The sequence below is a fragment of the Homo sapiens genome, chromosome 7 (genome assembly GCF_000001405.40).
Source record: "Homo sapiens chromosome 7, GRCh38.p14 Primary Assembly".
Lineage (NCBI taxonomy): Eukaryota > Metazoa > Chordata > Mammalia > Primates > Hominidae > Homo > Homo sapiens.
The window spans coordinates 6,325,589-6,352,664 of NC_000007.14; the positions used below are offsets into that span (position 1 = coordinate 6,325,589).

A 27,076-nucleotide genomic window follows, 5' to 3' on the forward strand; every position below is an offset into this window, starting at 1 on the left:
CTACTAAAAATACAAAAATTAACTGGGCATGGTGGGGCGCCTGTAATCCCAGCTACTCAAGAGGCTGAGGCACGAGAATTCCTTGAACCCGAGAGGCGGAGGTTGCGGTGAGCCGAGATTGTGCCACTGCACTCCAGCCTGGGTGACAGAGCGAGACCCTGTCTAAAATAAAATAAACAAAACAAAATGCAATAAAAATAAGAAAGCATCACACTCAAGGACTTCTCAGACACAACAGGCCACCTGGAACATGCCCCCCCAACTCAACCAAAACACTTTGTTAAAAGTCTTGATATACCTTGATAAAGCAAGACTACTGATTGCAGAAAAAAAATTATCCTACGAAGTTTACCATTCCTAAGCAAGCACCTTTGAAAATCTATTCCAAATGTTTCTCATACAGACTACAGCTCTCAATGAATGGTTTGTAGGGCTTAAAGGGCAAATGAAAGTAGTCAGATTTTTTTTTTTTTTTTTTTTGAGACAGAGTCTTGCTCTATTGCCCAGGCTAGAGTGCAATGGCACGATCTCGGCTCACTGCAACCTCCGCCTTCTGAGTTCAAGCGATTCTCCTGCCTCAGCCTCCTGAGTGGCTGGAATTACAAGCGTGCACCACCACACCTGGCTAATTTTGCATTTTTAGTAGAGACGGGGTTTCACTGGTCTCAAACTCCTGACTTCAGGTGATCCACCCACCTCGGCCTCCCAAAGTGCTGGGGTTACAGGCATGCACCACTGCGCCCAGCCGTCAGATGTTTTTTTAAATTTATCTGATTAATGATGGTTTTTAATTTTTTATTATTTTTTATTTTCCTGAGACTGAGTCTCTGTCACCCAGGCTGGAGTGCAGTGGTGTGATCATAGTTCACTGCAGCCTCAAGCTCCTGGGCTCAAGCGATCCTCCTGCCTCAGCTGTCTGTGTAGCTGGGATGATTGGCATGCGCCACCATGCCCAGCTAATTTTTTAATTTTTTGTAGAAATGGGGTTCTTGCTATGTTGTCCAGGCTGGTCTCCAACTCCTGGACTCAAGCAATCCTCCTGCCTAGGCCTCCCAAAGTCCTGGGATTACAGGCATGAGCCACCAAGCCCAGCCATCAAGTTTCAATAAACATAAAATGTTTGGAGAAAAGAGAGAGAACATGCTGGAAACAAAGGAGAGCCAAGTAGGAGCAGCCATTAAACTCATTTAATAAGAATCAAATCTTAGGCTTCTCCTTTTGAGTTTTTATGTTGAATATATTATCCACTGAACAGGGTGTGTTTCAAAACTTCTACCACTCACTGGCAGTTTCCATCTCTGAGTTCATACATACTGTTCAGGTAAATGTATTAAAATTTTTTTCAGCCAGGCACGGTGGCTAACGCCTGTAATCCCAGCATTTTGGGAGCCCGAGGTGGGCGGATCATGAGGTCAAGAGATCAAGACCATCCTGGCCAACATGGTGAAACCCCGTCTCTACTAAAAATACAAAAATTAGCTGGGAGTGATGGCATACGCCTGTAATCCCAGCTACTTGGGAGGCTGAGGCAGGATAATTGCTTGAACCCAAAAGGCAGAGGCTGCGGTGAGCCAAGATCACGCCACGTGTGCACTCCAGCCTGGGCAACAGAGCAAGAAGATTCCGTCTCAAAAAAAAAAAAAAAGAAAAGAAAGAAAAAAATGCATGTAAAGTGCAGGATTTGTTTTGTTTTGTTTTTGAGACAGAGTTTTGCTCTTGTTGCCCAGGCTGGAGAGCAATGGCACAATCTCGGCTCACTGCAACCTTTGCCTCCCGGGTTCGAGTGATTCTCTTGCCTCAGCCTCCCAAGTAGCTGGGATTATAGGCATCCACCACCACGCCCCGGCTAATTTTTGTATTTTTATTACAGACAGGGTGTCGCCACGTTGGTCAGGCTTGTCTCAAACTCCCGACCTCAGATGATCCACCCACCTCAGCCTCCCAAAGTGCTGGGACTACAGGCGTGAGCCACAACCCCCGGCATGCACACCATATTTTAATGTCACAATATGAAAGCATGTCAGCCTGGGCGTGGTGGCTCATGCCTGTAATCTTAGCACTTTGGGAGCTGAGGCAGGAGGATTGCTTGAGGCCAGGAGTCAAGACCAGCCTAAGCAACATAGTGAGACCTTGTCTCTACAAAAAAAAAAAAAAAAAAAAAAAAAAAAAAAAACTGTAAAAATTTATTAATATATCACTGGATGCTTAATAGGGAATTCTGTACTTTTTGCAATTGGTTGAACATTTGTATACTTGCAACCTACAAAACAAAGGAAATAAAACAGTTGGTGGGGCATGGAAAGTTCAACCCCAAAGGAGTAAACTTCGTTTTTTAAAAAAAGGAAGGCCAGGCGCGGTGGCTTATGCCTGTAATCCCAGCACTTTTGGGAGGCCAAGGTGGGCAGATCACCTGAGGTAGAGAGTTCGAGACCAGCCTGGTCAACGTGGAGAAACCCCGTCTCTACTAAAAATACAAAATTAGCCAGGCATGGTGCTGTATGCCTGTAATTCCACCTATTCGGGAGGCTGAGACAGGGGAATCGCTTGAACCCGGGAGGCAGAGGTTGCAGTGAGCCGAGATCGCATCATTGCACTCCAGCCTGGGTAACAAGAGCAAAACTCCATCTCAAAAAAAAAAAAAAAGGCCAGGAGCGGTGGCTCACGCCTGTAATCCCAGCACTTTGGGAGGCTGATGCGGGCAGATCACGAGGTCAGGAGATTGAGACCATCCTGGCTAACACGGTGAAACCCCATCTTTACTAAAAATACAAAAAAAAAAAAAAATAGCCGGGCATGGTGGCGGGTGCCTGTAGTCCCAGCTACTCGAGAGGCTGAGGCAAAACGGCGTGAACCCGGGAGGCCGAGCTTGCAATGAGCGGAGACCGCGCCACTGCACTCCAGCCTGAGCAACAGAGCGAGACTCTGTCTCAAAAAAAAAAAAAAAAAAAAAAGAGAGAAGTAAAAGGAGTGCTTGGCAAGAAAACAGTCTCTATTTTAAAACACTTAAAACTGTCTTCATCTCATTTTGCAATCACAGTGACACCAAAAGGGCATGGCTGTTCAGCAGGGTTTTAAATGCGCCACCAAGGCAGTGTCACTTAGATTAGATGGAGATGGATTGCCTTGTAAGGACTTTTTCTTTGGGACTCTGAGCACCAACCGAAAGGATCACAAGGCAGGACTTCATTGTTTCTTGGGAGCAGAGAGTTGAGTTCAGGTCTAGCCTTATATTGTTTTTCAAGCTCTGCTTCTCATCTTGTGCATCGGCAACCTACCTCGATGTTTAAAAAAAAAAAAGGCTGGGCGCGGTGGCTCACGCCTGTAATCCTACCACTTTGGGAGGCCGAGGCAGGCGGATCACCTGAGGTCAAGAGTTCGAGACCAGCCTGACCAACATGGAGAAACCCCGTCTCTACTAAAAATACAAAATTAGCCGGGCGTGGAGGCGCATGCCTGTAATCCCAGTTACTCGGGAGGCTGAGGCAGGAGAATTACTTGAACCCCGGAGGTGGAGGTTGCAGTGAGCTGAGATCAGGCCATTCCACTCCAGCCTGGGCAACAAGAGTGAAACCCCGTCTCAAAAAAAAAAAAAAAAAAAAAAAAAATTAGCTGTCCACAGTGGCATGCAACTGTTGTCCTGGCAACTTAGGAGGCTGAGGTGGGAGGATTGCTAGAGCCCAGGAGTTCAAGTTTATAGTAAGCTATGATCACTCCACTGCACTCCAGCCTGAGCGACAGAGCAAGACCCTGTCTCAAATAATAAAAACTATCAGGACGACGACGGCATTAATAAAAACACAAGAAGAACCAAGACCACACATATAAAATAAGACATATTTATTAAGCTAAAGAACAAATTTTATTTTTCATTTTCCCCAAACACTAAAATAGCACATGGCATAGTAATTCAGCACACAGCATAAACTGATATATGCAATCGATAATCCCGAAAATGTTTAAGTTTCACTTTGGGAGTCTTTAAAAACTTATGTCCTTAAATGACCTTTATTAAAGTTATCAACAGACGACAACAGGAGTCACCTTGAAAAATTTTAGGGTACAGGATACTGCAATTCTTAGAATCTGGGAAACTTTTTATGTGGGAAATAACTCGATTTGCTTCTCTGTAACTGAGCTACTTTTTTCTCGAGCTCATTTTTGTTTAAGGTAACACTGCTAGGGTTCTGAGTTTGAGAAGGGATCTTCTAAAGGTAAACTTAATATTGCAACTTTCACCACAGGGCCTCTGTCTAAATTGCATTTCAAGTGGAAGGAAAGGGGTATGAGAAGTGAAATCGAATTTTGCTGCAGACCAAAATCATTCTACAAAATGTAGACATGGTAACAGCTTACCACGAATTCAGCAAGATTTAACGCCAAGTACAGTGGTGTAGACTTTACAAGTATCCACTTCCATTGGGTGATCAGACAAGTCAAAAGGACACACAGGATTTGGGACAGTAGCCCTTTAGAATGGATGTTGAAGACAGAACTTCATGGTAAATCCGTATGTTCTAATCTGGTATTTATACAGGCTATGATCGTCTCCTGAAATGTTTCCCAATTCTTTATATGTCTTTTAAAGCACAATTTAACACATGCCAAAAAAGTTCCTTCCGCATCAACTGGCTTTGAATTTAAACTCAATTTACTTTAAGTCTGCCAGGTCGTACAAAACTACAGCAGGAACCTAAGGGCTGCACAGTTTGCATCCAGACTTAATGCGAAAGAAATCATTCTAAGACAACTCTTAAAATTAATCTATTGGTATTGTTCTGCTTGTACCTTAACTATGGCATAATGTATTTGCTAATTCAAAAGGTTGCAGAGCCAGTAACCCCAGTGTTATCTGCAGACCATCTGAGGTGCTTTTAAGCATTTTCTTGAATTCTATTGTTTGCTTTGAAAACATGGGCTTTAAACGGTCAAGGAAAATGCGTTTTGTCTCCTCACTCAGGAGCACTTCGGGATACACGTGCAGCGTTGCAGACAGGATGGAGTGCAGGCAAGCGGGTTCCAACTCAGAGCCCAGACCCTTGGGAAAAGCACTTGGTGGGTCATCCTGAAAACTTCCCATTTCCGGCACTTTTTGATGGCGTGGCAGTCGTGACACCCGAGGCTCTCCTTTGGGGCACTGTCCTCTGTGGCCGTCAGTGGCCCTGGGCCCTCCTCCCAGCCAGTCTCGCCGCCCCAGAGCTTCAACACCACTGCAGGACACCCGAGCAAAACACTCTGTTGGAGCAGGGAACAAACCCACGGCTGTGCTCGGAGTGGCTGCTGAGGCTGGATTTCTTCTTACTGATTCTCTCACATATGGAAGCACTGGGCCGCCACTGTGAAGCCAGAGGCCAGCCCCGCTCGGATCCTTTCTCATTTCCAGTGATAATGCCTCACTTTGTGAATTTCCATCAACCACAGGCTTATTCATCCAGGAGGGTGCATCTGCAGGCCAAGGGCCCTCCGGCATTCTTTTCTTAAGGCTGCATGATAGTTTGTCCGAGTCACCTCCTCCGGCCTGCTGCACTTGTGCCAGGCAGGTGCCGAGGGGCCCTCTTCTGTCCCTCATGCTTCGTGTTCTTGGATGCGGTGGGCCTGAGGTCACGCCTTCGTCAGTCTGGGAGGGCCTTCAATGGATCTCAATATGAACCTAGGAAAGGGAATCAAATTAAAGTTCTAAAATGAAGACACATGGGTCTTAAGAGCATCTACACCCACCAAATATTTCCTAACAAACACTGAGATCTTTATGACAGTCTCCAGTACAGGGTTTCACCATATTGGTAAGGCTGGTTTTGAACTCCTGACCTCAGGTGATCCACCCACCTCAGCGTCCCAAAGTGCTGGGATTACAGGTGTGAGCCACCATGCCCAGCCGTATTAAGGTTTTTGTTTTTTTGAGACAGAGTCTTGCTCTGTCGCCCACGCTGGGCGACCAGTTGCATGCCACCAAGCCCGCTAATTTTTTGTATTTTTAATAGAGACAAGGTTTCACCAAGTTAGCTGGGATGGTCTCCATCTCCTGACCTCATGATCCACTCGCCTTGGCCTCCCAAAGTACTGGGATTACAGGCGTGAGCCACCACGCCCGGCCTAGTGGAGAACATTTCGTGGGCTTAGTTCCCCACCCTCAAATTAGCAAATAATAGAGGCTTTTTTTTTTTTTTTTTTTGAGATGGCGTTTCGCTCTTTTTGCCTAGGCTGGAGTGCAATGGCACGATCTCGGCTCACTGCAACCACTACCTCTCAGGTTCGAGCGATTCTCCTGCCTTAGCCTTTTGAGTAGCTGGGATTACAGGTGCCTGCCACCATGCCCAGCTAATTCATTTTTTGTATTTTTAGTAGAGATGAGGGTTCGCCATGTTGGCCAGGTGAAATTAGCCAGGTGTGATGGCAGGTGTCTGTAATCCCAGCTAGTTGGGAGGCTGAGGTGGGAGAATCGCTTGAACCCAGGAGGTGGAAGTAGCTGTGAGCCGAGATCATGCCACTGCACTCCAGCCTGGGCGACAGCTAGACTCCATCTCACGGAAAAAAAAAAAAAAAAATTGCGAAAAGGCTTTGAAATGAACAAAAAATAACATGACTGGGCATGCTACCTAGTGCATCCTTCAGGTTATGTAATTTTATAGGGACCAGCACCTTCATTGTCTCTGAGCTGCTTTACAACTCTGTCATTTGCCCAAAACCTTAAGAGTAAGGCAAAAAAGTTCCTGTCCAAAGAAAATAGTCTAATTAGTTTAATTAAACTAATTAAATTAGTCTCATGGAATGTACTGATTACTGCCCTATGGATACTGACCAGCTTTGCATCTATCTGTAAACTCACTTTTGAGTGTTGTCTGAATTTTCCTTTAAACTGGTTGTAACATCATATTAGTTCCCTTATTAATTGACACGTTAAATGTAATTTTGACACATGATGTGTTCACTTAAAAAACACCACCACCCTCAGCCAGGCGTGGTGGCTCATGCTTATAAACTCAGCAGCTATAGTCCCAGATTCTCAGGAGGCTGATGTGGGAGGATTGCTTGAGCCTGGGAGGCAGAGGTCACAGTGAGCTGAGATCGAGTCACTCTGCCCTCTGACCTGGGCAATGGAGTCAGACCCTGTCTCAAAAAATAAAAATTAAAATTAAAGAGCAGCAACACTGAAAGGATCAGCTACAGCTGAAAGTGGCTGACGGGGATGGAGAAATGGCAGGTAGGAAACTGCTGTTTCTCTAATCTTATGGAACTAGGAGACTCTTAATGCTAAATGGATGTATAACCGCATTAAGATTTGTTATAAATTTTGGCCAGGCGCAGTGGCTCATGCCTGTAATCCCAGCACTTTGGGAGGCCAAGGCGGACAAATCATGAGGTCAGGAGTTCGAGACAAGCATGGTCAACATGGTGAAACCCTGTCTCTATCAAAAATAGAAAACAGCCAGACGTGCTGGCGGGTGCCTGTAATCCCAGCTACCAGGGAGGCTGAAGCGAGAGAATTGCGTGAACCCGGGAGGCAGAGGTTGCAGTGAGCCGAGATCCCACCACTGCACTCCAGCCTGGCGACAGAGCAAGACTCCATCCCAAATAAAAAAATCAAAAAAAAAAAAACAAAAAACAAAAAAACACTGGGGAGAAAATGAAGGATGCAGTTATTATTAGAGGCTGAAGGAGAAAGCAGGGAGAGTTTAGAGAAAGAGACCTCGGGCCATGTCACAGGGAGCCGGTGATTGGAGCCAGCCGAGAAGCTTCAGCAAGGACAGGATGGCTGGATTTGCATTTCAGATAAATTATTCTGGCTACACTGTGATGGACAGACTGCAAATGGTTCAGAATAGACACACTAGTTAGGAGGCTGTTCCACAGAGCAGGAAAAAGAAAGAAAGAAGGCTGTGATCATAAGGAGGGACAGACTAAAGTTTCATATTGTTGTTGTTGCTGTTTTTGAGACGAGGTCTCACTCTGCCTCCCAGGCTGGAGGACAATGGCGTGATCACAGCTCACTGCAGCCTGTAACTTCTGGGCTCAAGCAATCCTCCTAATTCAGCCTCCTGTGTCACTGGGATTACAGGCAGGCACCACCACACCTGGCAAATTTTTTTTTTTTCAGAGCAGGAACAGAAGTTTATTACAAAGCTCTAGAGTGAGAAAGGAAAGTGCACTTCGAAGAGATCCAAGTAGGTGACTTGAAGAACAAGTGTCTTTTTTTTTTTTTTAATAGAGACAGGGTCTCCCCATGTTGCCTAGAATGGTCTCGAACTCCTGGCCTCTTTTTTTTTTTTTTTTTTTTTGAGACAGAGTCTTGCTCTTTTTTTGCCCAGGCTGGAGTGCAGTGGCGCCATCTCAGCTCACTAAAAGCTCCACCTCCCGGGTTCACGCCATTCTCCTGCCTCAGCCTCCCAAGTAGCTGGGACTACAGGCACCCGCCACCACGCCCGGCTAATTTTTCGTATTTTTAGTAGAGATGGGGTTTCACCATGTTAGCCAGGATGGAATCTATCTCCTGACCTCGTGATCCGCCCACCTTGGCCTCCCAAAGTGCTGGGATTACAAGCGTGAGCCACCGCACCCAGCCGAACTCCTGGTCTCTTAAGTGCTCCTCCCACATCAGCCTCCTGAGTAGCTGGGATTACAGGTGTGTACCACTGTACCCAGCTAAAGTATTTTTTTAAAGTTGTTGACTGGCTGGGCGCAGTGGCTCACGCCTGTAATCCCAGCACTTGGGGAGGCCTAGCTGGGTGGATCACCTGAGGTCAGGAGTTCAAGACCAGCCTGAACAACATGGTAAAACCCCATCTCTACTAAAAATACAAAAATTAGCTGGGCATGGTGGAGCATGCCTGTAGTCCCTGCTACTCGGGAGGGTGAGGCAGGAGAACAGCTTGAGTCCCAGAGGCTCTGTCTCAAAAAAAGAAAAGATGGAGTCTCACTCTGTCACCCAGACTGAAGTGCAGTGGCAGGATCACAGCTTACTGCAAACTCTGCCTCCTGGGTTCAACAATTCTCCTGCCTAAGCCTCCTGAGTAGCTGGGACTACAGGTGCACACCGCCACGCCCGGCTAATTTTTTATATTTTGGTAGAGATGGGGTTCCACGAGTTGCCCAGGCTGGTCTCAAACTCCTGAGCTCAGGCAGTCCACCTGCCTTGGCCTCCCAAAGTGCTAGGATTACAGGCGTGAGCCACCACGCCCAGCCTGGATAGTTAGTTAGTTATTTTGAAATGGAGTTTCACTCGTTACCCAGGCTGGAGTACAATGGCACGATCTCGACTCACTGCAACCTCCACCTCCTGGGTTCAAGTGATTCTCCTGCCTCAGCCTCCTGAGTAGCTGGGATTATAGGCATGTGCCACCACGCCTGGCCAATTTTGTATTTTTAATAGAGACGGGTTTCTTCATGTTGGTCAGGCTGGTCTCAAACTCCCGACCTCAGGTGATCCACCCGCCTTGGCCTCCCAAAGTGGTGGGATTACAGGTGTGAGCCACCGCACCCAGCCAGTGGTTATTTTTTGAGACAGAGTCTCACTCTGTCACCCAGGCTGGACCGTAGTGGTGCAATCTTAGCTCACTGCAACCTCTGCCTCCTAGGTTCAAGCGATTCTCCTGCATCAGCCTCCCAAGTTGCTGGGATTACAGGAACCCACCACCATGCCCAGCTATTTTTTTTTTTTAAATGGAGTCTCGCTCTTGTTGCCCAGGCTGGAGGGCAATGGCACAATCTCGGCTCACTACAACCTCTGCCTCCTGGGTTCAAGTGATTCTCCTGCCTCAACCTCCTGAGTAGCTGTGATTACAAGCGCCCGCCACCACGCCTGGCTAATTTTAGTTTTTGTATTTTTAGTAGAGATGGTGTTTCGCTATGTTGCCAGGCTGGTCTTGATGTCCTGACCTCAGGTGATCTGCCCGCCTCAGCCTCCCAAAGTGTTGGGACTACAGGTGTGAGCCTCCGTGCCCAGCCTAGCCGTTAATATGTGAGAAAATATTAAAATGTCTTGGTTTAGTTCATTCTTCTTTCTTCTCCCTTTTAACATTTTCTATGTTTTATAATATGTATCATATTCTGAGTGAGCAAAATATACACTTTATGAATACTTATATATATCTTGTGGGACATGCTGAAAAGTTTTTACTGATAGAATTGTGACCATTATTCTATATAATTCACTAAAATATATTTGAACCAGGCCAGGTGCAGTGGCTCAGCCCTGTCATCCCAACACTTTGGGAGGCACAGACAGAAGGATGGCTTGAGCCCAGGGGTGTGAGACCAGCCTGGGCAACACAGCAAGACCCTGTCTCTACAAAAAAATTTTAAAAGAGTGGCCGGGAGCAGTGGCTCACACCTGTAATCCCAGCACTCTGGGAGGCCAAGACGGATGGATCACTTGAGGACAGGAGTTCGAGATCAGCCTGGTCTACACGGTGAAACCCCGTCTCTACTAAAAATACAAAAATTAATGGGGCATGGTGGTGCACACCTGTGGTCTCAGCTACTCAGGAGGCTGAGGCAGGACAATCGTTTGAACCTGGGAGGCGGAGGTTACAGTAAGCCAAGATAGCACCACTGCACTCCAGCCTGGGCAACAGAGTGAGATTTTGCCTCAAAAAAAAAAAAAAAATTAAAAGATTAGCTGGGGGTGGTGGTGCACACCTGTAGTCCCAGTCACTTGAGAGGCTGAGGTAGGAGAGGACTGCTTGAGCCTAGAAGCTCAAGGCTGCAGTAAGCTGTGATCACACCACTATACTCCAGCCTGCGCAATTAGAGCAAGACTGTGACTCAAAAAAGAAAAGAAAAAACTGTATATATATGAACCACATAAAAGAATACAGGCCAGGCACGGTGGCTCATGCCTGTAATCCCAACACTTTGGGAGGCCATGGCAGGCAGATCTCTTGAGGTCAGGAGTTTGAGACCAGCCTGGCCAACACAGGGAAACCCTATCTCTACTAAAAATACAAAAATTAGCTGGGTATGGTTGCACATGCCTATAATCCCAGCTATTAGTCAGGAGGCTGAGACACGAGAATCACTTGAGCCCAGGAAGCAGAGGCTGCCGTGAGCCAAGATGGCACCACTGTACTCCAGCCTGAGAGAGCGAGCAAGACTTTGTCCAAAAAAAAAAAAAAAAGCTGGAGTGCAATGGCACAGTCACGGCTCACTGCAGCCTCGACTTCCTCAAGGTTGGGTCATCACCTCACCTTAGCCTCCCAAGCAGCTGGAACCACAGGTGTGTGCCACCACATCCAGCTAATTTTTTGTATTTTGTGTAGAGACAATGTTTTGCCATGTCCTAGGCTGGTCTTGAACTCCTGGGCTCAAGTGATCCGCCCACCTCAGCCTCCCAAAGTGCTGGAATTACAGGCGTGAGCCACCATGGCTGGCCATATTCTTTCAAACCTTACATTTATTTTGCTGATGAAAATGTGCTAAGTATGAACATTATCCTTAAACGGAAGGATTCCTAAATATATTTCAATATATGTTGAAATAGGTATTTTAATTCTTTTTTTTTTTTTGAGACAAGAGTCTCTCTCTGTCTCGCCCAGGCTGGAGTGCAGTGGCGCAATCTCAGCTCACTGCAGCCTCTGCTTCCCGCACTCAAGCGACTCTCCTGTTTCAGCCTCCCAAGTAGCTGAGACTACAGGTGTATGCCACCATGGCCCTGGCTGGTTTTAGCTGTGTCTTCTCCCCTTTGGGACTAGCCTTGCCAGCCCATTAATTTTGTATTTTGAGTAGATATGGGGTTTTACCATGATGGCCAGGCTGGTCTCTAACTCCTGACCTCAGGTGATCTACCCGCCTCAGCCTCCCAAAGTGTTGGGATTACAGGCGTGAGCCACTGCGCCCGCCCAGTATTTTAATTCTCAAGAAAAACAGGTCATATAATATGGGACAGTGCTCAGAAAAATTAAGTTTCTAACCATTTTTAGTAAGTCCTTGTACAAGGATTTAGCATTGTTCAGAAAGGTGAAACATTTCTAGAATTGTGTTAAAGTACTTTAAATACAGTACCATTATTTTTTTTCATTTCCTTAGCAAACTAACGCAGTATAAGGTACCATTAGTAATCACTTATTTTATAACTCAGAAACATAAAAAAATTCATTTAATAAGGTAAACATGTATTCAATCATGATAGAATAAATTGTCCCCTGAAGTTCTTCTAGTACTTTAGTATTCAGTAATAAACTATTTAATTCTCTCATCAAAAAGATTTCAATACATTATTTATTTATTTATTTATTTATTTTGAGACAGAGTCTTGCTCTGTCACCCAGGCTGGAGTGCAGTGGTGCAATCTTGGCTCACTGCAACCTCCGCCTCCCAGGTTCAAGCAATTCTCCTGCCTCACCCTCCCAAGTAGCTGGTACTACAGGCACCAGCTGCCACGCCCAGCTAATTTTTGTATTTTCAGTAGAGACATGGTTTCACCATGTTGGCCAGGCTGCTCTCGAACTCCTGACCTCAGGTGATCCACCTGCCTCAGCCTCCCAAAGCACTGCGATTACAGGCGTGAGCCACTATGCCCAGCCACAAAAAGACTTCAACAGGTTATCAAAAACATTTTGGCTCACAGCCCTCAACTAACCTCTTCTGGTATTAGACTGTTATACATATTACCTGTATTCTGAGGGCCACAAATAACTTCTAAATAATTTCTAGGCATATTTAAGTCATTTATGAGTTTTTTCATAGTTTTTTCTCAGTATGCTAGAGATATATTGTACCAGATAAAATATGCCTAAGTGTATACAAAATCAGCTCTTTTTGGCCTCCTCATGCCATGTTAATCCTACAAAATTTAAAAAACAGTGTAAATGATGGTATTACAAACAAAGGTAGCTACCAAAGCTGAGACCACCAGAATGATGGAAGGAGTCTTCAAGAAAGCATGGTTCAGGAAAAATAAAGTGTAGCCCTGGGTTCCAGAGGGTAAATCTTGCAGCCTATACCTCCCTCTGCCTCCCACCAAAGATGACAAAAGCTGAACACAAAGCCAGGGAGGTCACAGGGGCGCCGTGCCAGGGGAAACGAGGCTGTCCAGGTATACCCGATCCTCACCACAACAGGAGCGGTCACCTTCCTCGCAGATCCCTGCCCAGCTGACCTGCCGGACAACAATGGCCTGACCTACTTAGCTGTTGCCCTCATGAGTGCCTGTACCCTCACCTTCCCTAACCCAAGCTATTCCTGGCCTCCAGGGCATGACGGTGCTGTTGCTTTGTAAACTAAAAATATCTTGGCCCCAATGTTTCTGAAAGAGGTCTGGCAAGGCTAGTCCCAAAGGGGAGAAGACACAGCTAAAACCAGCAGGGCCGCGGTGGGCCTTGAGGGACTGCCGCACGCAAGGAGAGCTCACACACGCTCCCAGATGGGCCAGCTCCACACCCCTCAGGTGTGAACGCTAGCACACCTTAACTCACTGTGCTCATGGCCCAAATGATCAGACTGGAGGTAGCAGAAACAAACCCCCGGATTTCCACACAGCCTAGAGGAGGAGAAACAGCAATGACCACAGCACTTCTAAATTAGGCTGAATCATGATCACAAGGAACACACTAACATCACTGAGTTCCTGCTACTCGCCACTTGGCACGTCTAAATCACACCTGATGGCCAGGTGTGGTGGCTCACACCTGTAATCCCAGTACTTTGGGAGGCCGAGGTGGGGAGATCACTTGAGCCTAGGAGCCGGAGACCAGCCTGAGCAACACAGCAAGACCCCCATCTCTACAAAAAATTAAAAAATTAGCTGGGTGTGGTGCACACACCTGTGGTCCCAGCTACTCAGGAGGTCGAGGTGGGAGGATCGTTTGAGCCTAGGAGTTTGAGACCAGTCTAGGCAACATAGCAAGACCCCATCTCCATAAAAAATAAATCATCTGCCCCTATAAAACCAGCTGTGTACCCCTTTTTTTGTTTTTTTTTTTGAGACGGAGTCTCGCTCTGTCGCCCAGGCTGGAGTGCAGTGGAGCAATCTCAGCTCACTGCAAGCTCCGCCTCCCAGGTTCACGCCATTCCGCTGCCTCAGCCTCCGGAGTAGCTGGGACTACAGGCGCCCGCCACCACGCCTGGGTAATGTTTTGTATTTTTAGTAGAGACAGGGTTTCACCATGGTCTCGATCTCCTGACCTCATGATCCACCCACCTCAGCCTCCCAAAGTGCTGGGATTACAGGCAAGAGCCACTGTGCCCAGCCGTACCCCTCTCTTAACCACTGCCCTGTCTCCCCCTCCCGGTCCCCTGGATGCTCACAGGTGCGATCACAAGGAGAGGAGAGTGTGCAGAGGCCGGGTGCCAGCTCGGCGTCAGGCAACTGACTTTCCGCAGGGAGCATGAGTCTCACTCTGCCGCCCAGGCTGGAGTGCAGCTGCATGATCTCAGCTCACTGCAACCTCCACCTCCTGGGTTCAAGCACTTCTCCTGCCTCAGCCTCCTGAGTAGCTGGGATTACAGGCATGCACCACCACACCCAGCTAATTTTTGTATTTTTAGTAGAGATGGGGTTTCTCCATGTTGACCAGGCTGGTCTCAAACTCCTGACCTCAGGTGATCCGCCCGCCTCGGCCTCCCAAAGTGCTGGGATTACAGGCATGAGCTACCGCGCCCGGCCCCTCCCAGGATTCTGTGAAGATTCGATGTATGAGAAGCAGCCAGAATCTTCTCTGACTACTCTTCTCTGACTAGCATCCTAAGGGCATCCCAGCTGCTGTCGATCAGAATCAACAGCAGCTACTATCATCATCATGACCAAAAGTGTTTCAGGGAAGGACAAAACGCTGCTGAGAGGGTTGGTGCGGTGGAGGACGGAGAAGCGACCACTGCATGTGTGTACAGACACAGCCCCAACATGGGTAAGTACACTTCAGTAGAAGGGCAGAGGCCGTGCCATACCTGGAGTCGGCTGAAGCACGGAGGCCGTGCTGCACCTGGAGTTGGCTGAAGGGCAAATACAGACCACCCACAGCTTCCCCAACATTGCCAGGGAGGGAATTCAGGATAACAGACTCGAAGGAGGGCAGGTTGACAATGACTTAAAAAATTATGAGTGCTGGCTGGGCATGGTGGGATTATTCCCAGCACTTTGGGAGGCCGAGGCGGGCGGATCACGAGGTCAGGAGATCGAGACCATCCTGGCTAACACGGTAAAACCCTGTCTCTACTAAAAATACAAAAAATTAGCCGGGCGTGGTGGTGGGCACCTATAGTCCCAGCTACTCGGGAGGCTGAGGCAGGAGAATGGCGTGAACCCGGGAGGCGGAGCTGGCAGTGAGCCGAGATGGCGCCACTGCACTCCAGCCTGGGCGACAGAGTGAGACTCCATCTCAAAAAAAAAAAAAAAAAAATTATGAAAGCTGTCATCCTGCCTAACATGGTGAAACCCTGTCTCTACTAAAAAAAAAAAAAAAAAAAATTCAAAAAATTAGCCAGGTGTGGTGGTGGGAACCTACAGTCCCAGCTACTCGGGAGGCTGAGGCAGGGGAATGGCATGAACCCAGGAGGTGCAGCTTGCAGTGAGCTGAGATCGTGCCACTGCACTCCAGCCTGGGCGACACAGCAAGACTCTGTCCCAAAAAAAAAAATGAGTGCTGGCCAGGCACAGTGGCTCACCCCTGAAATCCCAGCACTTTGGGAGGCCAAGGAGGGTAGATCAGGAGGTCAGGAGATTGAGACCATCCTGGCTAACACGGTGAAACCCCATCTCTACGAAAATACAAAAAATTGGCTGGGCCTGGTGGCGGGCGCCTGTAGTCCCAGCTACTCGGGAGGCTGAGGCAGGAGAATGGTGTGAACCGGGAGGCGGAGCTTGCAGTGAGCGGAGATCGCGCCACTGTACTCCAGCCTGGGTGACAGAGCAAGACTCTGTCTCAAAAAAATAATAATAATAATTATTATTATTATTATGAGCACTGTCATCCTGGCTAACGTGGTGAAACCCTGCCTCTACTAAAAAAAAATTTTTTTTAAATTAGCCAGGTGTAGTGGTGGGAGCCTGTAGTCCCAGCTACTCGGGAGGCTGAGGCAGGGGAATGGCGTGAACCCAGGAGGTGGAGCTTGCAGTGAGCTGAGATCGCGCCACCGCACTCTAGCCTGGGCCACAGAGCAAGACTCTGTCAAAAAAAAAAAAAAAAATTATGAGTGCGCGCCAGGTGCAGTGGCTCACCCCTGTAATCCCAGCACTTTGGGAGGCCAAGGTGGGTAGATCACCTGAGGTCAGGGGTTCAAGACCAGCCTGGCCATCACGGTGAAACTCTGTCTCTACTAAAAATACAAACATTACCCAGGCATGGTGGTGGGCACCTGTAATCCCAGCTGCTTGGGAGGCTGAGGCAGGAGAATCACTTGAACCCGAGAAGTGGAGGCTGCAGTGAGCCAAGATCATACCATTGCACTCCAGCCTGGGCGACAAGAACAAGACTCCATCTCAAAAAAAAAATTGCAAGTGCTGAAAACCTTTGATTCAAGATTCTAAAGATTTTCTGCCACACATTCAATGAGCAATCACTCATTAAGAACCTACCCTACGCCAGGTGCCAGGTGCTGTTCTAGGTGCTGGTATTAGGTTGGTATACCAAGCAGACAGTCTCTTCTTAAAGCTTCATTTTCTTTCCTTTCTTTTTTCTTTCTTTTTCTTTGTTTCTTACTTTCTCTTTCTCTCTCTCTCTTTCTGTCTTATAGAAACAGTGTCTAGGCTGGGTGCGGTGGCTCACACCTGTAATCCCAGCACTCTGGGAGGCCGAGGCAGGTGGATCTCTTGAGCCCAGGAGCTGGAGACCAGCCCAGCTAACATGGCAAAACCCCGACTCTACTAAAAATACAAACATTAGCTGGGCATGGTGGTAGGCACCTGTAATCCCAGCTACTCGGGAGGCAGGAGAATCACTTGAACCCAGAAGTCAGAAGTTGCAGTGAGCCAAGATCACACCATTGCACTGCAGCCTGGGTGACAAAGCGAGACTCTGTCTCAAAAAAAAAAGTGATCTTTTTGAAATGGTTAGAGGAGTTACATATGATCCAGCAATTCTGCTCTAAGTATACACCCAAGAGAAATAAAAACCGATGTCCACACAAAGCTTACATGCAAATGTTCGTAGTAACATTATTCACAATAGCCAAAAAGTGAAAGCAACCCAAAAGTCCAACATAGAAAGACATAAAAGACAAAAACAAAAGACTAAGCAGGGCCAGGTATGATGGCTCACACTTGTAATCTCAGCACTTTGGGAGGCTGAGGCAGGAGGATTAGTTGAGGCCAGGAGTTCGAGACCACCCTGGGCAACATAGTGAGACCCCATCTAGAAACAAAATGAAAAAATCAACCAGGCATGGTGGCACATGCCTGTAGCCCCAGCTACTCAGAAGGCTGAAGTGGGAGGATGGCTTGAGTCCAGGAGCTGGAGGCTGTAGTGAGCTATGATCGCACCACTGCACTCCAGCCTGGATGACAGAGGAAGACGCTTTCTCAAAAAAAAAAAAGAAAAAAGAAAGAAAGAAAGAGGAAGAGAAAAGAAAAGAAAAAATTGGCCAGGTGCAGTGGCTTACACCTGTAATCCCAGCACCTTGGGAGGCCGAGGAGGGTGGATCCCCTGAGGTCAGGAGTTCAAGACCAGCCTGGCCAACATGGTGAAGCCCCGTCTCTACTAAAAATACAATAATTAGCTGGGCGTGGTACCAGGCACCTGTAATCCCAGCTACTCAGGAGGCTGAGGCAGGAGAATCGCTTGAACCTGGGAAGCGGAGGTTGCAGTGATCCAAAATCACACCACTGCACTCCAGCCTGAGCCACAAGAGTGAAACTCCGTCTCAAAAAAATAATAATAATTTCATATATATATATATATATATATATATATATATATATATATATATATATGATCTAGGACTAAGAAACACTTCGTTCTTCCCACAGGCCATATAACTGAAAAGTTGTAGGCATGACTTGTTAAATTATAGCAGATTCACAGTACCATTTTTAATCTTGCTTTTACTAAATTTAGTATTTGGTATTGATTCCATTTAACTGCCTTGTATTTCAGATTCTGTATAAATAAGAAGGATGCTAAGAACTCCAGGAGATTAAGGCTTGCTTGCAAATAGTATTTTAAAATCATAACCATTCTCAGTATACAACTGTCTGCATCATTTTCTCATTTAATCATCTTTCATCCTAAAGAGGTATTAACCTCCTTAAAATGCCTCACTGCCCTACAAACTAGAGATCTAGGGAGGAGGGGCTCCCTAAACAAATTTGGAAAATGGAGTTCCTTAGGCCTTATTACTCATGAAACAGATTCTAACATTCCTGCAATGAAGAGGATGGGTATGGCTTTTTCTTTTTAGTCTCACTCTGTCACCCATGCTGGAGAGCAGTGGTGGGATCATAGCTTACTGTAGCCTTGAACTCCCAGGCACAGGTGATCCTCCCACCTCAGCCTCCCAAGTAGCTGGGACTACAGGCATGCACCACTACATTCAACTAACTTTTAATGTTTTGTAGTGATGGTGTCTCACTATGTTGCCCAGGCTTCTCAAGCTCCTGGCCTCAAGCGAGGGTAAAGCATGTTCTGAAGAACAAGAAAAAAAAAAAAAAGGCGTGGGGCTGTCCCCCTTATTCCTTCAGATTCTATTTCCTGTTGTACCTCCCTTTACCAGAAAGCCACAAAAATTAAACCTTCAAATCAGGTAAGTTAGTGTTTTTTCACAAATGAACAAAAACTCTAAAACCTGCAGGGGAGTTTAAAGTAGCAGAGGTAAATATCAAGGCCAAGAAGACAGACACCCCACTCCCCACCCCCATGATGTGACATGGCTGCTTGTTGCACTTGGTCAAGCCCAAGCCTACAATCTTCACACTTGTGTCTTTTTTTACAGACGGGGTCTTGCTCTGTTGCCCAGCCTGGAGTACAGTGGTACAATTATAGCTCACTGCCTCCTCGACCTTCTGGCCTCAAGTGATCCACCTCAGTCTCCCAAGTAGCTGGGACTATAGGCATGCACCACCACGCCCAGCTAATTTTTGTATTTTTTGTAGAGACGGAGTTTCGCCCTGTTGCCCAGGCTGGTCTCAAACTCCTCAGTTCAAGTGATCCTCCCACCTTGGACTCCCAAAGTGCTGGGATTACAGGGTTGAGTCACGGCACCTGGCCCACTCAATTCTTTTTTTTAAATTTTATTATTATTTTTTTGGAGACGGAGTCTCACTGTGTTGCCCAGGCTGGAGTGCAATGGCACGAACTTGGCTCACTGTAACCTCCACCTCCCAGGGTTCAAGTAATTCTCCTGCCTCAGCCTCCCAAGTAGCTGGGATGACAGGCGCATGCCGCCATGCCCGGCTAATTTTTGTATTTTAGTAGAGATGGGGTTTCACCATGTTGGCCATGCTGGTCTCAAACTCCTGACCTCAGGTGATCTGCCTGCCTCAGCCTCTCAAAGTGCTGGGATTTACAGGCGTAAATCCCACCACGCCCGGCCACTGCGCCCGGCCAGAGTTTAGCTTTCTTTTAGAAATGACATGATCAGATTTATGGGAGGTTATGTGTTTTTCTTGTTGTTGTTTAATTTTAGAGACAGAGTCTCACTCTGTTGCCCAGGCTGGTGTGCAGCATCATGATCACGGCTCACTGCATCTTCGGCCTCCTTGGCTCAAGCGATCCTCCCACCTCTGCCTCCCAAGTAGCTGGGATTACAGGCACGCACCACGACACCCGGCTAATTTATTTTTTGTACAGACTGGGGTCTTGCTGTGTTGCCCAGGCTGGTCTGGAACTCCTGGGCTCAAGTGATCCTCCCACCTCAGTCTCCCAAAGTGCTGGGATTATAGGCATGAGCCACCACACCCAGCCCTCGATCTGATTTGTTTTTTAGAAGTTGCCTCTGATTGCTTGGTGGAGATGGCAGATACTACAATAGTCCAGGCGAGTGGATACAGTAGGGTAGACTAGAGAGGTGGTTATAAATAGAGAAGCAGATATATGAAAAAGGTAACTGTTTCAATGGTAAAGAGCATACCAATTTTCACCAAAACAGCATCATGTAGCAGGTTTTCTCTTATAGCCATTCTTGTGATTTTTACAAATGACTGCAAATTACGTTACTCTAGACAAAAAGGGGAGTACAGGAGCCAAATACAGCCTGTAGACACTTTTTGTTTTGCCCTCAAAGTTTCTTTTTTTAAAATCTGTTTTTTTGGTGGTGGTTATTATTATTATTTTTTTGAGACAGAGTCTCGCTGTGTTTCCCAGGCTGGAGTGCAGTAGGGTGATCTTGGCTCACTGCAACCTCCATCTCCTGGGTTCAAGTGATTCTCCTGCCTCAGCCTACCATGTAGCTGGGATTACAGGCGTGCACCATCACACCTGCCTAATTTTTGTATTTTTAGTAGAGATGGGGTTTTGCCATATTGTCCAGGCTGGTCTTAAACTCCTGACCTCAAGTGATCCGCCTGCTTCAGCCTCCCAATATACTGGGATTACAGGCATGAGACACCATGCCCAGCCAAAGTTTGTTTTTTAAAAATCCGGATTGGAAATCTAAAAATCTTGACTTCTGATTTCTCTTGGTGCTGACTAGATACGGCAAATACTGGGCCCCTATTTTCGAAGGTGGTAACTGGGGAGGGCTCAGGCCTTCTCGTTTACCAGTCCCCTGAACTGACACAGGAGCACCCTTCACTCAATTCAAGCCACCTGGTGGAGGTTTTGACCCCTCTAATCAGGTATAATTTCAGAATGCTACAAGCCCTTGATCACATGACAGTACCTCAATTTGGACCTCAAAATAAAGAGGCCAGTTAATCTCAACTCATTTACTTACTTGAGACAGAATCTTACTGTCGCCCAGGCTGGAGTGCAGTGGCACAATCTCGGCTCACTGCAACGTCTGCCTCCCAGGCTCAAGCGATCCTCCCACCTCAGCCCCACAAGCAGCTGGGACTACAGGTGCACGCCACCACTGCCCGGCCACCACGCCCAGCTAATTTTTTGTATTTTAGTAGAGACAGGGTTTCACCCTGTAGCCCAGGGTGGTCTCAAACTCCTGAGCTTAAGCGACGCAGACACCTTGGCCTCCCAAAGTGTTGGGATTACTTACAGGAGTGAGCTACTGTGCCCAGCCATCTTAACTCAATTTGGATCAACAGCCGGTGTTAGGTTTCATGTTAATTACCATCACCTGTGTCAGGCACCAGCCACCTGAAGACCTGCTACTGGGACAATCATACTTTGATATGGCCAAACCGACGTTAGAAAGGGACGGCACCTGCAGTGTGGTGGTTCTACTGCTCAGACTGGTTCATTCTGCACGCCAGGGAGCAACCCAAGGACCGTCCAACTGTAAACTCCCCAAAGGAGGGTCCCTCCTTCAGCACAGAGGTATGCAAATGGAATGCAAGAGGGGCTCAGGACTTGGCCAGCTTTCTTTGAGAAAGAATTCTCGAGTTGACAACCTTTCCTTCCACTAGAAAAAGTCATCTGAGGCTGGGCTCACTGGGTTCTGACTGTAATCCTAGTGCTTTGGGAGGGCAAGGCAGGAGGATCACTTGAGGCCAGAAGTTCAAGACCAGCCTTGGCAACATGGGAAGACCCTGTCTCTACCAAAAAGGAAAATATAAAAGAAAGAAAAAGGCAACTGGAATTCAAGGGATGTAGAAATATCAGTCTCTTGGCTGGGCGCTGTGGCTGACGCCTATAATCCCAGCACTTTGGGAGGTCGAGGCGGGCAGATCACTTGAAGTCAGGATTTTGAGACCAGCCTGGCCAACATGGTGAAAACCCAACTCTACTTAAAAATACAAAAATTAGCCTGGCGTGGTGGCGGGCACCTGTAGTCCCAGCTACTCAGGAGGCTGAGTCAGGAGAATCGCTTGAACTCGGGAGGCAGAGGTTGCAGTGAGCTGAGATGGCGCCACCGCACTCCAGCTTGGGCAAGAGTAAGACTCTGTCTCAGGGAAAAAAAAAAAAGAGATACCAATTTTTTACAGCAAAGGCGGTCTCCAGGGTGCTGGGGTGTGAGCATACTCTAAGATCAGCTGAATGGTTCCAGGCCTCTGAGACGTTTTGTGCTTCCACGTCTTCCACTTTATTTTCCCTGGTCTTCACCCTCACAACTCAGTTCCACCTCTGGCCAAAATACGGTACATTTATCAAAACGCTGTTAACTTCCAATCCATTTTTAGCTTCAAGGATAACATAAAACGTCTATGCAGGCCAGATGTGGTGGCTCATGCCTATAATCCCAGCACTGGGAGGCCAAGATGGGAGGATCTCTTGAGGCCAGGAGTTCGAGACCAGCCTGGGCAACATAACGAGACCCCTTTATTATTATTATTATTATTATTATTATTATTATTATTATTATTGAGATGGAGTTTCCCTCTTGCTGCCCAGGCTGGAGCGCAATGGAGCGATCTCGGCTCACCGCAACCTGCGCCTCCCAGGTTCCAGCGATTCTGCCGCCTCAGCCTCCCGAGTAGCTGGGATTACAGGCACGCGCCACCACGCCCGGCTAATTCTGTATTTTTAGTAGAGACGGGGTTTCTCCGTGTTGGTCAGGCTGGTCTCGAACTCCTGACCTCAGGTAATCCGCCCGCCTCAGCCTCCCAAAGTGCATTACAGGAGTAAGCCACCGCGCCCGGCCGAGACCCGTCTTTACAATTAAAAATAAGGGGGGGGGTTGCAAAGTTTGGGAACTAGAAAATTCACCCAACATTTAATAAAGGTCCTCTTCAACACCTTTCCAGCCCATGCAGTCTCGGACCCCACCTCCCGAGCTGCGGGACCTTCCCCAAGGCAAGTCGCTTAACCTGACCCCCAGTGCCGCGTTTGCAGAACGGGGATAAGGACCACCTCAGTGGATCTCCCCAAAGTAGGGTCGCACGGGAAAATGCACGGTGCTTGACATACACTCAGCTTCTAGGCAGTGGCAGCTGCCGTGGCGTCTGCATCCCGCGGGCGAGGCGGGCGCTCGGGGAGGGCCGGGGGCCGGGCAGGCACGGCTCACCCACCTGCAGGCGGACGTTGAGCATCATGGAAGCCACGATGTAGAGGTAGGGGAAGTTGATACGCAGCCGCCAGGCCAGGTCGAAGAAGATGAGCAGCGTGCGAGTCAGCCCCTTGCAGAAGACCCCATAGGAGCGGGCGGCGGCCGAGCGCGAGAGCCGGACAGCCAGGCCCGACAGAGCCGCCGCCATATAGAGACCGGCGCTCCCACAGCCCCCCCGCCCGCCCTCTCCGCGCCGCGTCGCCCCGGCAGCTGACCCTCGCCTGGCGTGCTCAGGGAGCGAAGGAGGCGGCGGCTAGACCGGCGGGCGGGCGGGCCGCAGTGGAGCGGAGTCCGCACGTCACGCTCGGAGAAGTGCCTCCGCGAGCAGCCGCCTGTACCAGCCTGGCCGCGCAGCCTGACGTCACAAAGCCAGCCACGCGCCTGCGCGGCCCACAGGCCCCGCCCCTGGACACGCCCTTGCCACCTTTCTTTTTGGCAGGTAAGACGCGCATGCGCGGGAGAGGAGGCGTGGGGGTCGAGGCTGATGCGCTGTCTCCGTCCGCCCCCTACTGGTGAGTCTGAAAATGAAGACAAAGGGAGGCGATGGACGGTAGCGACGGTTGCAGACAAAGTGAATGTATTTAACGCCGCTGAACTATACATTTAAAAATGGTTGCAGTAGGCCAAGCGCGGTGGCTCATGCCTGTAATCCCAGCACTTTGGGAGGCCGAGGCGGGCGGATCACGAGGTCAGCAGATCGAGACCATCCTGGCTAACACGGCGAAACCCCGTCTCTACTAAAAATACAAAACATCAGCCAGGCGTAGTGGCGGGCGCCTGTAGTCCCAGCTACTCGGGAGGCTGAGGCGGGAGAATGGCGTGAACTCAGGAGGCGGAGCTTGCAGTGAGCCGAGATCGAGCCACTGCACTCCAGCCTGGGCGACAGAGCAAGACTCCGTCTCAAAAAAAAAAAAAAAAAAAAAAAGGTTGCAGTACTAAATCTTTTTTTTTCTTTTTATTTGAGATGGAGTTTCGCTCTTGTTGCCCAGGCTGGAGTGCAATGGCATGATCTCGCCTCCTGCAACCTCCGCCTCCCGAGTTCAAGTGATTCCCCAGGCTCAGCCTCCTGAGTAGCTGGGATTACAGGTGCACGTCACCATGCCCAGCTAATTTTTGTATTTTTAGTAGACAGGGGTTTTCACCATTTTGGCCAGGCTGGTCTCGAACTCCTGACCTCAGGTGATCTGCCCACCTCGGCCTCCCAAAGTGCTGGGATTAGCATTTTTTAAATAAATCAAATAAAATAGGCCAGTTGCGGTGCCCGACTCCTGTAATCCCAGCATTTGGGAGGCCAAGGCAGGTCCATCCTTTGAGCCCAGGAGTTCAAGACCAGCCTGGGCAACATAGCAAAATCCTGTCTCTACAAAAAGTGAAAAAAACTAGCCGGGCATGGTGGTGCACGCCTGTGGTCCCAGCTACTTGGGAGGCTGAGGTGAGAGGAATCCTTGAGCCCAGGAGTTCAAGGCTGCAATGTGGTATGATCACACCAGTGTACTCCAGTCTGGAAAACAGAGTGAGAACCTGTCTCAAAAAAAAAAAAAAAAAAAAACCTTTAGTTTCCCTTATTTTTGCAGCATTATATTTTGCCACATTTATCATTGACATTAAAAAGCTCACTTCCTTTTTTTGGAAGCTATTTTTTCCTTTCAGTGCACATTGCATGCCCTCCTTGAGCACCGCAGTGCACATGCTGCAGAATTGTTGTTTTTCAAGCTATCCTCTTGATAAAAAGTAGAATGAAAATGTCTTTATGCAGTATCTAGGCAAATAATTTAAACATTTTAAAGGGTAGAGTCTTCAGTGGAACATTTGCCAGAAAACACAGAATCAATCTGGTAATGTGTAAACAGGCTTGAAGATCAGCTAAATTTATTCTTAGGCTTGTAGAGATTTTCACTGGTGGAAGTTTGTCAGTCCTGTTTATTTGAACTATGTGGAAAGACCAGATGGGCTGAGGTAACATGTGATTATATATAAAGAGAGAGATAGGTATATGTATATGTACAGACACACACACACACACACACCCAGAATCATACACACATGCATACATATCCTCCCTGGTTACTCATTTTTATTGTCTCTAAATGCCATTGTGGCAGGGAGGCATTTAAAAATTTTATTTCAAGATGAGAGGTCTTGCTATTTTGCCCAGTCTGGAGTGCAGTGGCATGATCACAGCTCACTGCACCCTGAACCTCCCTCGCTCAAGCCATTCTCCTGCCACAGCCTTCTGAATAGCTGGGACTACAGATATGCGCCACCATGCTCGGCTAATTTTTTTTTTTTTTTCGGGGGACGGAGTTTCACTCTTGTTGCCCAGGCTGGAGTGCCATGATGCAATCTTGGCTCACCACAACCTCCACCTACTGGGTTCAAGCAATTCTCCTGCCTCAGCCTGCTGAGTAGCTGGGATTACAGGCATGCACCACCACGCCCGGTTAATTTTGTATCTTTTAGTAGAGATGGGGTTTCTCCATGTTGGTCAGGCTGGTCTTGAACTCCCAGCCTCAGGTGATCCGCCTGCCTTAGCCTCCCAAAGTGCTGCGTTTACAGGCGTGAGCCACCACGCCTGCCTCATGCTCGGCTAATTTATTTTTATTTTATTTTATTTATTTATTAATTATTATTATTATTATTATTATTATTATTATTATTATTATTATTGGTAGAGATAGGCTCTCACTATGTTGCCCAGGCTGGTCTGGAATCCCTGACCTCAAGCCATCCTTCTACCTAGGCAGAGAGTTATTTTAACAAGCCATTCGGTTGCTGTAAACAATGGCAAGCAAAATTACCACAACGCTAAACTGGGCAAGGTAAGAAGCCTGTTGTAATGAGATGCAATGAGAGGTCAAAGAGACACATGGGAAAGCTAACAATATTTGAGGTATATCTGGGTTAATTGTTCCAAACTACAGTGCCGGCTGGGAAATCAGCCTAGGTTCCTGACCTAGCATTCAGCTCAGCCCAGTGTCACTGAGCATCTTTGGGAATACATTTTCCTCATTATGGTTTGAGAAACAAACACAGACAGAACTAATTATAAATCAGTGTGAGCCAAACACAGTGGCTCATGCCTGTAATCCCAACACTTTGAAAGACCATGGCCTTCAATAATTATCATTATTAAAAATAATATTTTTGTTTTTTGAGACAGAGTCTCATTCTGTCACCCAGGCTGGAGTGCAGTGGCACGATCTCGGCTCACTGCAACCTCCACCTCCTGGGTTCAAGTGATTCAGCCTCCTGAGTAGCTGGGATTACAGGCACCTGTAATCCCAGCTACTCAAGAGGCTGAGGCAGGAGAATCATTTGAACCTGGGAGGCAGAGATTGCAGTGAGCCAAGATCACGCCATTGCACTGCAGTCTGGGCAACAGAGTGAGACTCCGTCTGTAAATAAATAAATAAATATAAAAATAAAATGATTGATCAACAGGATCCATGTCCTTTGCCTACAATCTTCACCCTGCTATGAAAATTGTGTCTCAGGTGAGAGAAATAGTCAAGGCTTTTTTTTTCTTTTTTTTTTTTTGAGATAGAGTCTCGTTCTGTCACCCATGCTGGAGTGCAATGGCACTATCTCGGCTCACTGCAACCTCTGCCTCCTAGGTTCAAGCAATTCGCCTGCCTCAGCCTCTTGAGTAGCTGAGATTACAGGCAAGCACCCCCACACCCCACTAATTTTTGTATTTTTAGTAGAGATGGGGTTTCACCATGGGTTAGCCAGGCTGCTCTCAAACTCTTGACCTCAAGTGATCTGCCTGCCTCAGCTTCCCAAATTTCTGGGATTACAAGCATGAGCCACTGAGCCCAGCCAAGCCTTTTTTCTTTTCAGCATGATCTGGTGGTGAGGAAAGCACAGAGAAGTCAGGTTTCACATTTAGCAATTTCTTGGTGCCCTGTGACCTGGTTCTGTAAAATGAGGATAAGGACAGCCATCCTACTGGGTATTTATGAGAAATAAATGAGATCAGGTATACACGGCATTTAGCACAGTCCCAGGCAGATAGAGGACACCGAGAAAGTGGTGGTAGCTATTTTCTTTATCT

General features: G+C 47.7%; 2 protein-coding genes across 2 annotated transcripts, besides 3 other annotated features; both read right to left on the reverse strand.

Annotated features, from left to right (window-relative positions):
• Positions 1-3,822: 3,822 nt before the first annotated feature.
• On the reverse strand, positions 3,823-23,379 carry FAM220A (family with sequence similarity 220 member A). The gene is made up of 2 exons (NM_001037163.2): positions 22,985-23,379; positions 3,823-5,647 (listed from the first exon to the last, which is right to left on the reverse strand). Exon 2 carries the CDS (start codon positions 5,564-5,566, stop codon positions 4,787-4,789), a length of 780 nt encoding a protein of 259 aa, NP_001032240.1. The 5' UTR covers positions 5,567-5,647; positions 22,985-23,379; the 3' UTR covers positions 3,823-4,786.
• On the reverse strand, positions 3,823-23,379 carry SMIM10L3 (small integral membrane protein 10 like 3). Its single transcript, NM_001395995.1, has 2 exons — positions 22,985-23,379; positions 3,823-5,647 (listed from the first exon to the last, which is right to left on the reverse strand). The coding sequence occupies exons 1-2, from the start codon at positions 23,168-23,170 to the stop codon at positions 5,627-5,629; spliced, it is 207 nt and encodes a 68-aa protein (NP_001382924.1). The 5' UTR covers positions 23,171-23,379; the 3' UTR covers positions 3,823-5,626.
• Positions 22,470-22,971: an enhancer, noted in NCBI's record as "H3K27ac hESC enhancer chr7:6387689-6388190 (GRCh37/hg19 assembly coordinates)". NCBI's record gives its function as "activates a minimal SCP1, AML or CMV promoter by ChIP-STARR-seq in primed H9 embryonic stem cells {active_cell/tissue: H9 hESC(primed)}" and the evidence as "EXISTENCE:reporter gene assay evidence [ECO:0000049][PMID:30033119]".
• Positions 22,972-23,471: an enhancer, noted in NCBI's record as "H3K27ac hESC enhancer chr7:6388191-6388690 (GRCh37/hg19 assembly coordinates)". NCBI's record gives its function as "activates a minimal SCP1, AML or CMV promoter by ChIP-STARR-seq in primed H9 embryonic stem cells {active_cell/tissue: H9 hESC(primed)}" and the evidence as "EXISTENCE:reporter gene assay evidence [ECO:0000049][PMID:30033119]".
• Positions 23,030-23,359: a silencer, noted in NCBI's record as "silent region_17940". NCBI's record gives its function as "represses an Ori minimal core promoter by ATAC-STARR-seq in GM12878 lymphoblastoid cells {active_cell/tissue: GM12878}" and the evidence as "EXISTENCE:reporter gene assay evidence [ECO:0000049][PMID:35858748]".